The sequence below is a fragment of the Homo sapiens genome, chromosome 6 (genome assembly GCF_000001405.40).
Source record: "Homo sapiens chromosome 6, GRCh38.p14 Primary Assembly".
Classification (NCBI taxonomy): Eukaryota; Metazoa; Chordata; class Mammalia; order Primates; family Hominidae; genus Homo; species Homo sapiens.
The window spans coordinates 98,216,211-98,233,896 of NC_000006.12; positions in this window are offsets into that span (position 1 = coordinate 98,216,211).

A 17,686-nucleotide genomic window follows, 5' to 3' on the forward strand; every position below is an offset into this window, starting at 1 on the left:
GGTCATGAGTTCGAGACCAGCCTGGCCAAAATGGTGAAACCCCATCTCTACTAAAAATACAGAAAACTTAGCTGACCATAGTGGTGGGCGCCTGTAATACCAGCTACTCGGGAGACTGAGGCAAGAGAATTGCTTGAACCTAGGAGGAAGAGGTTGCAGTGAGCCCAGATCGCACCATTGCACTCTAGCCTCGGCAACAAGAACAAAAACTCTGTCAAAAAAAAAAAAAGAAAAGAAAGAAAGAAAAAGAAGAAAAGCATTACCTTATCTTCCTCATAAAATAGTTATAACATTTGTAATACACTTCCAAATAGTAAAACATAAAGAGTCTAAAATAATGTTTAAGCCATACTATAGGGGCAAGTAGTTGTCTGATCAGGAAATCTCCCACCAAGGGTGGCCACTTAGCATTCAATACAAAAAAGCACTATCCAAAGGTAGCTATTAAAAGTTCTTTAGTTATCTTTATCTTTCATCAAAACCAGATGCTTTGCTCATTTTTGTAGTGCCTAAGGTAGAAATAGGCTTTAACCGCTAATATTGGTGACTTGTTAATTAGAATAAAGGATATCCTAAATGGCATTGCCGAAATCAGTATATTCAATATAGATGCATTTGCTGGAGTATTGTAGACAATTCTCTATCCTCACATCGTGAAATAAAAAAGTCCATGGATCCTGGCCTTTGTCCTTGGGAATAGAATTGTGGACTTCTCAAGTTTTCCAGATGATATTTGGTCATGTGACTCAGAGAGTTAGCTAAATTTGGCTACTACAATAGTATTGCATTTGCCTTAGGTAAATTTTTTCTGCAAGGGTTTTTCAGAGTTTCAGAGAGAACAGAACATCAAACTTGTGGAACTATTTTATGAATTCTTATTAATGAATATTCTAGTAGCAAGTTGTGGGGAACAGTTAACCTCTACCTATCTTAAATTTCCTGTGGATTTCAACATATATTAAAAAGAACCTAATAAGTTTGTATAACCAAATTATCTTAGGTCAGTTCATAATAAGAGTCAAAGTGGAAAAATAAAATTCAAAATAATCTAGAATTCATTGTATTTAGGATAAGCAGTTTGTTAAATCTTCATCTTTTCCACTTATTTTTTGGGTGAAATGAGTCTATTCTAGAACTATGATTTAGATTTAGATTTAGAATAACTCCACAGATCCCTTCTTTTAGCTGACATTTTTCTCAGCTACAGTCAATTTTGTTTCACTTTCCATCTTTTTGGTATGCTCTTGGCCACAGCTATGCTAATGGATCCAACTGGTTGAAAGTCAGGGGTCTTGTAATTTGTGTCCTCCTAAGGGCAAAGGAGAAAGTCTGCTTTATTATAACAAAAAGCCAAAGTTATCTAATAAGCAGCATTATGCTTGGGAAGTTGTAATTATGATTATAGAATTATTCAATTTAGGTTCCTACATCTGTGTTTCCTATATCAAATAATCAAAATATGCATTCTTATTTTACATTACTATTGCATTGTATTTCCCAAGTGATTTACATTTATAAATTAGCTTCTGCATGTGAGAGTTTGATGTGAAATGAGGGTAGTGATGGTCTTCCCTTACTTTCATGGGGAGGTTATTAAAAGGTTAAAACATGATATGCTGTTATATTATCAGTTTTTTTCTGATTGATTATTCACCTAGATTTCCACTTGCAAATTTCATTCACTACTAAACTAGATAAAATGGTTTGAGGATTACATAACACCAGTGCAACTACAAACAAGTAATTACAAAAATGAAATCATTTATTTTATTGTGAATCAATCTCTCAACTTGGTAAGCAGTTTGTATATTCCCAATGACCAGCATCATTTTTACTGGAAAACGAAAGGGTAACTTGCCCAGAGCCACTTTGGGTCTAAGCCAGAATTGAAAATTGTAGCACTTTCTATAAAAAAGGAGGAAAAAGTATAAAAGCTCAATAGAAAATGGACAAAAGATATGAATTGATCATTGACAGAAAAATGGTCCTTTAACATATGAAAAGATGCTCATCCTCAGTATAATAAGAGAAATGCAAATTAAAGTTACACTGAGCTATCATTTCTCACTTATCAGATAGACAAAAATAAAAATTGTACAATGTACTCTCTTGGGGAGGCCATGGAGAAGTAAGCACTCACACATTGTTGGCGGGAGATTAAATAGTATAACACCTATGGGAAATTTGGCAATTGCATATATATATGTGCATATATGCATATGTATGTATGTATATGTAAGCACTATGCATATATATGTACATATTTATATATATATATAGTATGGAATGATCTACAGGATAAATTGTTAAGAGAAAATGTATGCCTCATTTTGTGTAAGAAAGTAGAAGACATATGAATATATATATAAATATTTGCTTATATTCTCAAGAATAAGCAAGAGATGGATAAACCACAAACTAATCAAGATAATTACCTATAAAAGAAGGTAAGGAAGAGGATAAGAGGGATGAAGATAGAAGCAAGACATCTATCAATGCACCTTGTTACATAGTTTTGAGTTTGAAATTGTATAAATGTATAGTATACTTTTAAAATAGCAAAGTAAAAGGAATTCCTAAGAACTGAAAACAAACTAAAACAAATGAATCCAACTATATATAAGGTTGCTATTTTAACTACACAAAGAAGGGGATTACTGAAACTGACTTTAAAATAGTATTTTGTTTGCACATCCCTTGTAAAACCTAATCTAATAGGAAGCTCAGAAAGGAAGAGCAAAGATATGTTAAACTACATTTCTTTGATTATTGTTAATTATAATAATGGCTTTGTTATTTTGGCACTATTAAAATATAGAGCAAATGAACAATTACATTAATATTAGGAATCAAGATTTTTGAGTAATAGAAAAGACGTAAATTTTTAAAATCAAAGAAGTTGGCCAAAAAACTGTGATCTCTAACTTAAATCCAAATATCAGTACAGTCTCCTGGTTTGTTTCCATGTTTTTAAAAATATGTATATTTGTGGTTCAGCCTGAAAAAAGGTATAGGAACAAGGATAAAGCACCTATAGTGCTATTCTTTTTAGTGACGAGGTTAAGGTTTCCAAATTATATTTACCATGAGAAAGGAACCATGGCTCCATGGAAAATGGCTATTTCCAGGTTTCTTGTTGTTGTTGTTTTGTTTTTGTTTTTTGTTTTTATTTGAGACACAGTCTCACTCTGTCGCCCAGGCTAGAGTGCAGTGGCGCCATCTCGGCTCACTGCAAACTCTGCCTCCTGGGTTCAAGCGATTCTCCTGCCTCAGCCTCCTGAGTAGCTGGGACTAGAGGCGCGGGCCAGCACGCTTGGCTAATTTTTTGTTGTTGTTGAGGTGGAGTCTCGCTCTGTCGCCCAGGCTGGAGTGCAGTGGCGCAATCTCGGCTCACTGCAAGCTTCGCATCCCAGGTTCAAGCTATTCTCCTGCCTCAGCCTACCGAGCAGCTGGGACTACAGGCACCCGCCACCGCACACGGCTAATTTTTTTGTATTTTTAGTAGAGATGGGGTTTCACCGTGGTCTCGATCTCCTGACCTCGTGATCCACCTGCCTCGGCCTCCCAAAGTGCTGGGATTACAGGCATGAGCCACCGCGCCTGGCCAATTTTTTTGCATTTTTAGTAGAGACACGGGGTTTCACCATGTTAGCCAGGATGGTCTGGATCTCCTGGCCTCGTGATCTGCCCATCTCGGCCTCCCAAAGTGCTGGGATTACAGGTGTGCGCCACCGCGCCTGGCCTATTTCCAGGTCTTGATCGATGTACAAACTGAGCTTGGGACAACTTGTTCCAGAAGGCAAATACATGCTCAAAGACTACAGGCATCATGTCAAAAGGACGTAAAAGCCATTTGAAGAGTTTTCTTCTGCCTTACAAGACAAGGCAAGAAGAAAAATGACTAAAATTGAAATAGCAAATACATAAAAATTCATGAAATCATATCTACTAAAAGCATTAAAAATAATTGATCCCATTAGAAGTTGATAGTACATGAATTTATTCTCTTAATCTTAAAACTAAAGAGAAAAAAATCTAGCTGTTGGCCTACCTTTCCTATACATTGTATTTCAGGATAGGCAAATAGTCAATGTGAGATAGTTCTTCTTTATGGAATAATTCAGTCAATAAATGCAGAATAAAACATAGGGATGAGAAATTATTATATTTTTATCTTTAATGAAATAATGGAGGCAGGACTTGATCATCAATGAAGGCTAAATCCACTGGGTGAAAAACTCATGTGTTACTTGGTAATAGCTAAAAGTCTATGAACCCACTGCTCAATCCTATCACCACTAAAAATGGAAACACTGAATATTATGTAGCTCATAATAGGACATGATAAAATGTACATAGTATCACTTATTTTTTTTTCCTTTTCTCCCAGCTTAAACCTGAATCTAATTAAATCTCTAAATCCTACTACTAGTTAATAGGAATTAGGAGTTAGAGAGTATTTCTCAGCTTTTTCTCCATTACACCCTCCCAAGAAGCATTTTTAGGCATTTTTTTTTCCTCATGGCTTCACCTGTTCTCTTTATATAAGATGGCTCTCCATATACTGTGGCCCTTTGGATTTTCCCCTGGTGGGCGTACATCACCCCCTTTGAGAATGCATCAGTTAGAAGAACAAATGAAATGACATCACAAGTAAGGAATCAATCAAATATGTAATCTACAACTATTTCTCCCAAGAAAGCAATAAAATAAAATTAAAAACCAAAGAGAGAGGGGCACTGATTAAAAAAAAAAAAAAGACATTAAAGAAACATATCATCTTGGTTGGGTGCGGTGGCTCATGCCTGTTATCCCAGCACTTTAGGAGGCCGAGGCAGGTGGATCACTTGAGTTCAGGAGTTCAAGATAAGGGTGGCCAACTTGGTGAAATCTAATCTCTACTAAAAATACAAAAATCAGCCAGGTGTGGTGGTGCATGCCCGTAATCTCAGCTACTTGGGAAGCTGAGGCAGGAGAATCTCTTGAACCCAGGAGGCAGAGGTTGCAGTGAGCTGAGATTGCCCCACTGCAATCCAGCCTGGGCAACAGAGTGAGAAAAAAAGAAAGAAAGAAAGAAAAGAAAGAAAGAAAGAGAGAGAGAGAGAAAGAGAGAAAGAAAGAAAGAGAGAGAAAGAAAGAAAGAAAGAAAGAAAGAAAGAAAGAAAGAAAGAAAGAGAAAGAAAGAAGACATCTAAAAGCAATGTATAAATATATGAAACTTTTTTGGATTCATGATTCAAACAAATTATTTGTGAACAGACATCTTTGTGACAATCAGAGAAATTTGAGTAAGGACTGAGCATTAGATGATATTAAGAAATTCTTGTAATTTTGGTGAGGTGTGATAATGACATGATGGATTAGGGGAAAATGCCCTTATCAGCAGAGATGCATAATGGGGTTTTAATGGTATGATATCTCAGATTTGCTTCAAGAAACTCCAGAAGAAGAAGAAAGATGGGATGTAGTTAAAATGAAATTGGAAAAATACTATAAATTCTGTGAAACTAGGTGGTTGGTAAATGAGGTTTATTAAAATTTTTATTATTTTGTATATCTTTGAAATTTTCCATAATAAAAGTTTATCACACTAAATCACTCCTCAAAAAATTAGAAGGATTTCAAATTAACAATCTAACATCACACCTCTAGGATCTAGAAAAACAAAAACAAACTAACCCAAAAGCTAGCAGAAGAAAAGAAATAAGCAAAATCAGAGCAGAACTGAATGAAATTGAGACTAAAATACCCATACAAACAATCAAAAATATAAAAAATTGATTCTTTTAAAGGATAATCAAGATTGACAGACCACTAGCTAGATAAACAAAGACAAAAGGATGGAAGGTCTAAATAAGAGCAATCAGAAATGACAAAGGTAACATTATAACTGATGCCACAGTAATACAAAAGATCCTCAGAGGCTATTATGAACATCTGTCTATAGACAAACTAGAAAATCTACAATAAATGGATAAATCCCTTGAAATACCCAACCTCCAAAGATTAAATCAAAAAGAAATTGAAACCCTGAACAGACTAATATCTTGTTCCAAAATTGAATCAGTAATAAAAAAAAAACCTACCAACCAAAAAAAGCCCCTGACCAGATGGATTCACAGCTGAATTCTACCAGATGCACAAAGAAGAGCTAGTACCAATTCTACAGAAGTGATTCCAAAAACTCAAGGAGGAAATCCTCCCTAACTCATTAAGTGAAGCCAGTATTACCCTGATACCAACATGTGACAAAAACACAATGAAAAAGAAAACCGTAGGCCAATGTCCTTGATGAAGACAGATGGAAATATTCTCAACACAATACTAGCAAACTAAATCTAGTATCTCATCAAAAAGTTAAATCACTATGAACAAGTAGGGTCCATTCCTGGGATGAAAATTTGGTTCAACATATGGAAATCAATAAATATGACTTAGCACATAAACAGGAATAAAAACAAAAACCATATAATCAGTGCAATAGACACAAATAAGCTTTTCTTAAAATCCAATGTTCCCTCCTGATAAAAGCCTTCAATAATCTAGACATCAAAGGAACATACCTCAAAATAATGAGTCATCTATGACAAACCCACAGCCAATATCATACTACACATACAAAAGCTGGAAGCATTCCCCTTGAAAAGTGGAACAAGACCAGGATGCACATTCTCAACACTCCTATTCAACATAGTACTGGAAGTCCTAACCAAAGCAATCAGCCAAGAAAAAGAAATAAAAGGTATCCAGTTAAGATAAGAAGAAACCAAATTATCACTGTTGACAGATGATATGATTCCTTACCCAGAAAACTCTAAAGACTCTGACAGAAACCTCCTAGACCTGATAAACTACTTCAGCAAAATTTCAGGATAGAAAATCAATGTACAAAAATCAGTAGCATTTCTATACACCGATAAAGTACAATCTGAGAGCCAAATCAAGAATGTAATCTCATTTACAGTAGCCACAGAAAAAAGAAAATGCCTAGGAATACATCTAATCAAGAAGGTAAAAGACCTCTACAAGAGCTACAAAACAGTGCTAAAAGAAGTCATATATAACACAAGTGGAAAAACTTTCCATGCTCATGAACTGGAAGAATTGATATCATTAAAATGGCCATACTGCCCAAAGCAATCTAAAAATTCAGTGCTATTCCTATCAAATTATAAACATCATTTGTCACAGAATTAGAAAAAACCTATTCTAAAATTCATGTGGAACCAAAAAAGAGCCTGAATAGCTAAAGCAATCCAAAGAAAAAAAAACAAAGCCAGAGGCATCACATTATTCAACTTCAAACTACACTATATGGCTACAGTCATCAAAACAGCATGGTACTGGTACAAAAACAGACACATACATCAATGGAACAGAATAGATAACCCAAAAATAAAGCCACACACCTATCTTCAACAAAGTTGACAAAAATAAGCAATGAGTAAAGGATTCTCTATACAATAAATGGTGCTGGGATACCTACCTAGCCATATGCAGAAGAATGAAACTGGATCCCTATCTTTCACCACATACAAAAATTAACTTAAGGTGCATTAAAGACATAAATACAAGACCTTAGACTATAGGAATCCTAGAAAAACACCTAGGAAACACCATTCCATATATTGGCCTTGGGAAAGAATTAAATTCTCCAAAGCAATGGCAACAAAATCCAAAAATTGACAAGTGGGACCTAATTAAACTAAAGAGCTTCTGCACACTATCAACAGAGTAAACAGGCAATCTACAGAATAGGAGAAAATATTCACAAACTATGCATCAACAAAGATCTAATATCTTGAATCTATAAGGAAATTAAATAAACAAGCAAAAAACAATAACTCCATAAAAATGGATAAAAGACATGAACAGATACTTCTCAAAGAAGACATACAAGTGGCCAACATGAAAAAGTGCTCATTATCACCAATCATCAGAGAAATGCAAATAAAATCCACAATAAGATACCATCTCACACCAGTCAGAATGGCTATTATTAAAAAGTCAAGGGCCGGGCGCGGTGGCTCACGCCTGTAATCCCAGCACTTTGGGAGGCCGAGGCAGGCAGATCACGAGGTCAGGAGATCGAGACCATCCTGGCTAACACGGTGAAACCCCGTCTCTACTAAAAATACAAAAAATTAGCCGGGCGTGGTAGCGGGCGCCTGTAGTCCCAGCTACTCGGGAGGCTGAGGCAGGAGAATGGCGTGAACCCGGGAGGCGGAGCTTGCAGTGAGCCGAGATCGCGCCACTGCACTCCAGCCTGGGTGACAGAGCGAGACTCCGTCTCAAAAAAAAAAAAAAAAGTCAAAAAACAGTAGATGTTGGCAAGGCTGTGGAGAAAGGGAATGCTTATAACTGTTGATAGGAGTACAAGTTAGTTCAGCCACTATGGAAAGATGTTGGAGATTTCTCTAGGAACTTAAAACTGAGTTAGCATTTGACCCAGCAATCCTATTACTTGATATATATCCAAAGGGAAATACATCATTTTACCAAAAAGTCACATGCACTCATACGTTCATTACACTGCAATTCACAATAGCAGAGTTTTGGGATCAACCTAGTTACTCATCAGTGGTGGACTGGATAAAGAAAGTGTGGTAAATATACACCATGGAATACTACACTACCATAAAGTAGAATGATATTTTGTCCTTAGCAGCAAAATGAATGTAGCTAGAGGCAATTATCCTGAGTGAATTAACACAGGAACAGAAAACCAAATACTGCATGTTTTCACCTGTAAATGGGAGCTAAACATTGTGTACACATGGACATACAGATGGGAAGAATAGATACTGGAGACTATTAGAGGAGGCAGTAGGCTGCAAAATCACCTGTTGGGTACTGTGCTCATTACCCGTGTGACGGGATCATCTGTACCCCAAACCTCTGCATCACATAATATACCCAGGTAACCAATCTGCACATGTACCCCCTCAATCTAAACTAAAAGTTGAAATTATAAAAAAAATAATAAAATATTTGTAAGACAACTGTAAGAGTATACCACATCTTAGAGTAGCCCAGGTGCAGTGGCTAACACCTGTAATCCCAGCACTTTGAGAGGCTGGGGCGGGAGGATCACTTGAGGTCAGGAGTTTCAGACCAGGCTGGCCAACATGGTGAAACCTGTCTCTACTAAAAATACAAAAATTTGCCAGGCGTGGTGGCAGATGCCTGTAATCCCAGCTACTTGGGAGGCTGAGGCAGGAGCATCGCTGGAACCCGGGAGGCAGAGGTGGCAGTGAGCCAGGATGGTGCCACTGCACTCCAGCCTGGGCAACAGAGTGAGACTCCATCTCAAAAAAAAAAAAAAAACTTATACTTTGTTATATAATTCAATAGCAATGATTCATGTAATCTATTGGGGAATCATACCACTTTGAAAAATTTGGACCACTTGCTTATTTAAAAATAATCTTTTCACATGATGGAGAAATGAAATGTAAAAAAAGCCACTCATCTTGGCAACGATATTCATGGGACTGACATTGATAGAATTCCAAAGACAAAAATATATTTTTTTCATTCATGGTCATATGGAAAACCCTGCATTCACTATTTTTGGATTCCTAAAGAGTGACATGTGATAACTATGACTCCAGTTTCTTTACTCTGCATCAATCTTCTCTTTCTTTTTAATGTATTTTCAGTGGGGAAAGATAAAGAAACTGAAAAATGGGGAATTGTGATATTTCCAATATTTGCCTGAGAAACGCCATGGCCTCAGGTCAAAGTAACTAGCCAAATGATGTTCTCCCTTCACTATTGATAAACTGGTTGGCAGTGAAAATATTCCACTCATTTCAAACATACTGGTTTGTATATTAGATGCCAAAAATAAATTTGTTTGAATATTCTTATGATAAAATTAAATAATCTTGTTGCTAATATGTAATATAGGCCTAAGTTGCTGATTCCACAAAAATTCTCAGGAGAATTGATGTTTGGCATAATAAAATATTTCAAAAGAATTAATTTTTGGCATACATCTGTGTGGTTAAATGCCCAGTCTTTGTTCCATTCAAACTTCCAACAAGAATGTTACTGTTTTTCCTTTTACATTCAGTAACATTTGGCTTTTGCCATTTCTTTTTCAGAAGAACAAAGTGTTCTGCTGAAAAGAATTAAAAGCCATGACCCCATTAGGTGTTTATTATTGTTGTTGGTGGTGGTGTCAATGTATAGCAATTCTAGCTATACCTCCAATACTTTCCAGTGATATCAGAAAACAATAATGACAGAATTTTCTAAAGCTGAAAGTGAAGCATATATCTCAAATGAGGAGAGGGTTTGATATATTTCAAGATCTTGTACTAAACCAAGGTTGATTTTATAACCTGCATATCACAGACAGATGAATAACAGAAACTTGCCCAATTGAAAACAAAATGTTGAACTGTTTTAAGTTCTGTTGATATTTGACGAGTTCATTATTTTATTTCCCATTTACTGTCCAGCTAAATTCTTTTTTTTTTTTTTTTTTGAGATGGAATCTCACTTTGTCGCCCAGGCTGGAGTGCAGTGGCATGATCTCAGCTCACTGCAGCTTCCACCTCCAGGGTTCAAGAAATTCTCCTGCCTCAGCCTCCCAAGTAGCTGGTATTACAGGCGTGCACAACCATGTCTGGCTAATTTTTGTATTTTTAGTAGAGACAGGGTTTCACCATGTTGGCCAGGCTGGTCTTGAACTCCTGACCTCAGGTGATCCACCTGCCTGGGCCTCCCACAGTGCTGGGATTACAGGCATGAGCCACCGCACCCAGCCTGTCCAGCTAAATTCTGTATAGTAAGTCTGTAGTTGTGAACAGGTTTAAAACAGCACTTTATCAAACTAACTTCATATTAGCTTATGAAATATTACCATTTCTATTATTTCCCCTTATTATGACAGCTAAGTTTTGACAAAAATAGAATTCCCAGGAAGATGAAAGGAATTTTTTTTCTTCCAGTAAAACCAAATTGCAAATAAAACAAGGTACTTTTCAGCAATGGTATTAATATTGACTTTTAAATTAAAACTATCTCAAAATACTTAATCCTGATTTACAGTTTTTCAGCTAAGCTACAAGTGTCTAAATTGTGGGGCTGATTTATATCTAATTAGAAAAACAGGTATTTTTAATAGAAAAGCAAAATTAAAACTGAAGATAAAGAATTCTACATATTTCGACTGTTTTCAGCCCCTCACATTGATTAAGACTTGACTCAGGTATAATCTTAATGAAGGCAATAGATGTGTTTCCAAGGCAGATGAGCAAGGAGAGGGAGTTAGAAACTGTCTGGCATGTGTGATATGCAGATTTCTTACACTAAGTAAAATATAGAAGACCCAGAAATATTTTCAATAGAGGAATATTTTTAATAAGTGACTCCATTATAAATTTGGAAACAGTTATTTAATATTGAATTTAAAAGCTTAAAAGTCACTATTCTCACTTACTATGGGACACTTGACTCTTTATATAATTCAACGCAGAAATTTTTTAGCCTTTATATATGTTCAAGATTGTCTTGGTTGTTGGATAATTAAAAAAGAAAAATGAGTTTGTGCAAATATTTTTGACCCATCCTGTCTCAAGAAGTTAACCAAAAAAGCATATTTCAATCATTTATCAAATATATGATTTGTATTTTTTTACATTTTATGGGTTGCCTTCTTACGCTGTTGATAGCATCTTTTTTGATGCGCAAAATTTTAAAATTTTCATGAATCCCAATTTGTCTATTTTTTTCTTTTGTTGCCTGTGCCTTTAGTATCGTATTCAAAAAGTCACTGCCCAAGCAAATGTTATAAAATATTTTCTCTGTTTTCTTTTAAAAATCTAATAGTTTTTGGTCTAACATTTAGGCCTTTGATATCCAGAATATATAAAGAACCCCTAAAACTCAACAACAAAAAAGAAAACAATCCAATTCAAAAATGGGCAAAGGGCTTGAATAGACATTTCTCCAAAGAATATATACAAATGGCAGGTAAACACATGAAAAAATGCTCAATATCACCACTTATTAGCAGAATGCAAATCAATAATAAAGTTAGATACCACGTCATACTCATTTGTATGGCTAAAAAAATACAGACAATAACAAGCATTGACAATAATTTGGAGAAATTAGAATCCTTATGCCCTGTCAGTGGGAATATAAATGGTATGGCTGCTGTGGGAACAGTATGACTTTTCCTCAAAAAGTTAAAAATAGAATTACTGTATAATCCAGCAGTTCCACTTCTGGGTATATGCCCCCCAAAATTGAAAGCAGAGTATTTGAAAAAATACTGTTCAACCATATTCACAGCAGCATTATTCACAATAGCTAAAACAACCTAATTGTCCCTAACAAATGAATGAATAAGCAAAATGTGTTATATACATACAACGAAATATTATTAAATCTTAAGAAAGGAAAATTCTGCAATACACAACATCTGTGAATCTTGAGGACATTGTGCTAATAATATAAACTAGTGACAAAGAGACAAATACAGTATGATTCCACTCATAAGTGATACTTAGAGTCATCACAGTAATCAAGACAAAAAATAGCATAATGATAGCAAGGGGGTGAGGGGAGGGAGGAACGGGGAGTTATTGCTTAGTGGATGTAGAGTTTCAGTTTTACAAGATGAAGAGTTATGGATGGATGGTGGTAATAGCTGTACAATATTGTGAATTTCTGTAATACCACTGAACTGTATACTTACAAATGGTTATAATGGTAAATTTTGTTTTATGTGTCTTCTACCATAGTAAAAAAAATAAAGGGTTCATGTAGATGTTATGAGCTACAAATGAAGCTGGAGATGGAAATTAGCTAAAGAGAAGTATATTTTCACTGGGCTTTAAGAGTAGGTTTTTGCCAATAAACCTTCTCTTCTGAAAAAAAGGTGTGAATGCAGGTGGGCAAGAGGTTTGGGCTGGGAGCACAAACTCATGAAAGTGTAGAAAGGCATGGAAGTCAGCATATCTACTTGTTTAGGGAACAGTGAACAGATCCGAGTGGCTGGAATATGAAATTTATGAAGAGCTAATGTTAGAAAGATAGCTTATGGAAAGACTATGAATGATCTCAAAAGCTTATTGGATTTTTATTTAAGAAGTGAAAAATCATTGAATAGGGAATGTGATGACTAAATACACAGTTTAAAAGTGAGATTTCAGAGGCAAAGAGAAGTGAGAATTGAAGAGTTAATAAATTGAGTGTGGAGAATTACTCAAAAGACTACCGCAGTTGTGCCTGTATGGGAAAATAACAGTGGGCATGGAAAAGGGAAGACAGAAATAGAAGGAAGACATTGTTGAAACTGAATTGACAGGGCTTTGCAAATGATAAGAAAAGTGAATGGAAGGGAGAAATGGGAAATGAGAAAAAATGGCAACATTTTTAAATGGGAAATAGAAACATAGGATTGGGAGGAAAGAATTTGGACAGGATCAACAATATGGGTTCCCTCTGAGGCCTAATGAGTTTGATATGTTATAGAACATATAGAATATGCACATATAATTATTTTCAATGTAATTAGAAGTGTAGATCTTAGGAGAATGATAAGAACCAAAGACATATATGTGAAAATTAGTGGTGACTGGAGGTTGGTTGAGGTCATGGGAATGGCAAAGTATGACCTGGACTGAAAGTCAGGAGGACTGAGTTTTACACCTGGTCTGCCAGCCACCAGGTAGGTTCTGGGTAAATTGCCTCCTCTCTGGGCCTCATCTTTACACATCTACAAAATGGCCTTGTTCTCTTTGTAGGGTTATAGTATCAATCACATAAGTATTTTGAAAGTTCTTTATAAAATACAAAGCACAATGTAGACTCAGAGACTCAAAAATATTAAATGTTTGCCAGTCACAAGATGACTTATCCATTTAATATTTTATTCATTATTATGTACAAATGAATATACTTTTTCATTTTGCTTTTCAGTTACGTTTATACTCTTTGAACTCACTTATCTTTCTCTACATGTATGATGTCTGTATTGTGCCATGTAACACTGAGAACATTCTAGTGGACAATAGAGGTAGGGTAATGTGAAATCCAAACTAAATACACATTGAATTTTTGCCCTTGGGAAGCTTTCAATTAAGCTAGAGCACCAGCATATGCACAGAAAGCATTGCAAGAAGTAGGCAGTGCAAAACTACCAAAAGAGGATGTATGTCCTGGGGGAATGCAGAGTAGAAAACAGTCAGGTGGCTGGGAGTTTTAAATGAAAGCATTTAGGCAATGAATTATGTTCAGTCCAAATTGTAAAAGGGAGTGTGAGGCATGGATTCCTAGAGAGAATGAAAGAAGGTGCTCCAGGCATTTGTTACAGTCGATTTATTCAGGTAATAGCCATGCTAATGAAGACTGCTGTTACCCATAATCACTACTGTCTGCCAGCAGTTCCTGAACAGTGTGCACAGAAATCACTTGGAAGCTCAAAATCTTCACCAGGAGGTTCTAACTCAGGATATCTGAGAAATATACTAAAGCATATGTATTTTTTTTACCCTCCCAGGTGATTTTGATGTGTCCAGATCCCTGGTTAGATACCACTATGCCAGTTATTTCCATTGTTGTTTGTACATTTACATTACTTCAAGACTTTAAAATTCCAAAACTCAACTTATACCTCAGAGTAAGTAAATCACACAATATCTGTGGGTGAGGGGAGAAGAAACATTCATTAGTAGTTTTTAAGTTCCCTGGGTGATTCCAATGCACAGATAAATATGGGAACTACTGCAATTTCCTCTCTCCCTTAATCCACTTCCTAGAAGGAGGAGAAACTCATGTGAGTAGAGGAAAAAATGAATTCCAAAAGCACATGTAAGCCAATGTGCTAAACAAAGAAGCTTCTGTTTGGAAAGGGGTAAACATTTCTGTAGAGAAATGTTTGAGATGCCATATTCCTTATGGTATCTCAATATCTTGGCTCCTCCAGTTAAAAAAAATATTTTGTGTTGCTCTTCCTTCCTTGTGTTGCTCTTCCTTCACTTCTCTCCATATAGATAGTGCTACAGAAGTGGCCTGGGGGTTCATCCCACAAGGGAAATGTAATTCTCCCTCTCTTTCCTTTAGGACAACAGTCAGAAAAAGAATGGAGAAAAAAAGGAGTTATGAGGCATCTTACATAATTTTGATTGTGTATGGAAGATACATGTTATTTAATAAAGAAAAATCCTCCAACATAGAATATAAGCAGCTGGCCAGATATTAATGTGCTTGACCCAGCAACTTTCAGATGGGACTAACCACTAAATCTGCAGTATAAAACTGATGAGTTAAAGTCTTATTACACCATAAGTCTCGGGATTTTTTATTCTTTTGGCAAATGAGAAGTTTTCCCTGATTTGCTTCTTCTTGGAAAGAACCACTAGAACAATATTGTGTTTTCCATGCCTTTAGTGTAGCTTATGTGATTGCAGTTTCCTCTGAAGTGATGTGTTAGGAGATTTTGGAGCTCAATTCTCTGTATCAGTCCATTCTTACACTGCTATAAAAATACTACCTGAAACCGGGTCATTTATATAAAAAAAGAAGTTTAATTGACTCTGTTCCACATGGCTGGGGAGGCCTCAGGAAACTTACAATCATGGCAGAAGGCAAGGGGAAGCAAGGCATGTGTTTACAAGGTGGCAGGAGAGAGAGGAAGCTCAGGGGAAAGGGCCAGACACTTATCAAACAACCAGATCTCCAGAGAACTTCCTCACTGTCATGAGAACAGCATGGCAGAAACTATCCCATGAGCCAATCACCTCCCACCAGGACCCTCCCTTGACACATGGGAATTACAATTGATGATGAAATTTGGGTGAGAACACAGAGCCAAACCACATCATTTCACCCCTGGCCCATCCCAAATATCATGTTCTTTTCATATTTCAAAACCAATCATGTCTTTCCAACAGTCCCCCAAAGTCTTAATTCATTCCAGCATTAACTCAAAGTCCAAGTGCAAAGTCTCATCTGAGACAAAGCAAGTCCTCTGCCTATGAGCCTGTAAAATCAAAAGCAAGTTAGTTACTTTCAATATACAATGGGGGTACAGGCATTGGGTAAATGTTCCCATTCCAAATGAAAGAAACTGGCCAAAACAAAGGAGTCACAGGCTCCATGCAACTCCAAAACCCAGGAGGGCAGTCATTAAATTTCAAAGACCCAAAATGATCTCCTTTTACTCTATGTTTTACATCCAGGGAATGTTGATGCATGGGGTGGGCTCCCATGGCCTTGAGCAGCTCCTCCCCTGTGGCTTTGCAGAATACAACCCCTGAACTGCTTTCACAGGCTGTTGTTGAATGCCTATGGTTTTTCCAGGTGCATGATGCAAGCTATCGATGGATCTCCCTTTCTGGGCTCTGGAGGATGGTGGCCCTCTCTCACAGCTCCACTAGGCAGAGCCTCAGTGAGGAATATGTGTGTGGGCTCCAACCCCACATTTCCCTTCTGCACTGACCTAGCAGAGGTTCTCTATGAGGGCCCTACCCCTGCAACAGACTTCTGCCTGGACATCCAGGTGTTTCCATACATTCTCTGAAATTGGCAAACCGTCCCAAAGCTCAACTCTTGTCTTCTGCGTACCACAGGCCCAACACCACATGGAAGCCACCAAGGCTTGGAGCCTGCACCCTCTGAAGCAACAGCCTGAGCTGTACTTGGCCCCTTTTAGGCATGGGTGGAGCTGGAGTTGCTGTGACACAGGGCACCAAGTCCCAAAGCTGCACTGAGCAACAGGGCTCTGGGCCCAGCTCATAAAGCAATTTTTCCTCCCGGGCCTCTGGGCCTATGATGAGCAGGACTACCATGCAGGTTTCTGACATGTCCTGGAGACATTTTCCCCATTGTCTTGGGTATTAACATTCAGTTCCTTGGTACTCATGCAAATTTCTCCAGCTGACTTGAATTTTCCCAAGAAAATTGGTTTTTGTTATCTACCACATGGTCAGGTGGCAAATTTTCCAAACCATTATGATCTACTTCCCTTTTAGACACAAGTTCCAATTTCAAACCATCTCTTTGTGAATGCATATAACTAAGTGCTTTCAGAATAAGGCAGGCCACCTCTTGAATGCTTTGCTGCTTAGAAATTCCTTCCACCAGATACCCTAAATCATCTCTTTCAAGTTCAGTGTTTCACAGATCTCTAGGGCAAGGGCAAAATGCTGCCAGTCTCTTTGTTAAAGCATAGCATGAGTGACCTTTACTCCCGTTCCCAATAAGTTCCTCATCTCCATCTGAAGCCATCTCAGCTTGGACTTCATTGTCCATATCACTGTCAGCATTTTGGTTAAAATTATCCAGCAAGTCTCTAGGAAGTTCCAAACTTTCCCACATCTTCCTGTCTTCTTCTGTTCCAACCTCTGCCTGTTACCCAGTTAAAAAGTCACTTCCACATTTTCCGGTTATCTTTATAGCATTACCCCACTTCTGGTACCAGTTATGTGTATCAGCCTGTTTTCATACTGCCGGAAATATACTACCTGAGACTGGGTAATTTATAAAGAAAAGAGGTTTTGTATTTTATTATTATTATTATTATACTTTAAGTTCTAGGGTACATGTGCAAAACCTGCAGGTTTGTTACACAGGTATACATGTGCCATATTGGTTTGCTGCACCCATCAACTCGTCATTTACATTAGGTATTTCTCCCAATACTATCCCTTCCCCAGCCCTCTAC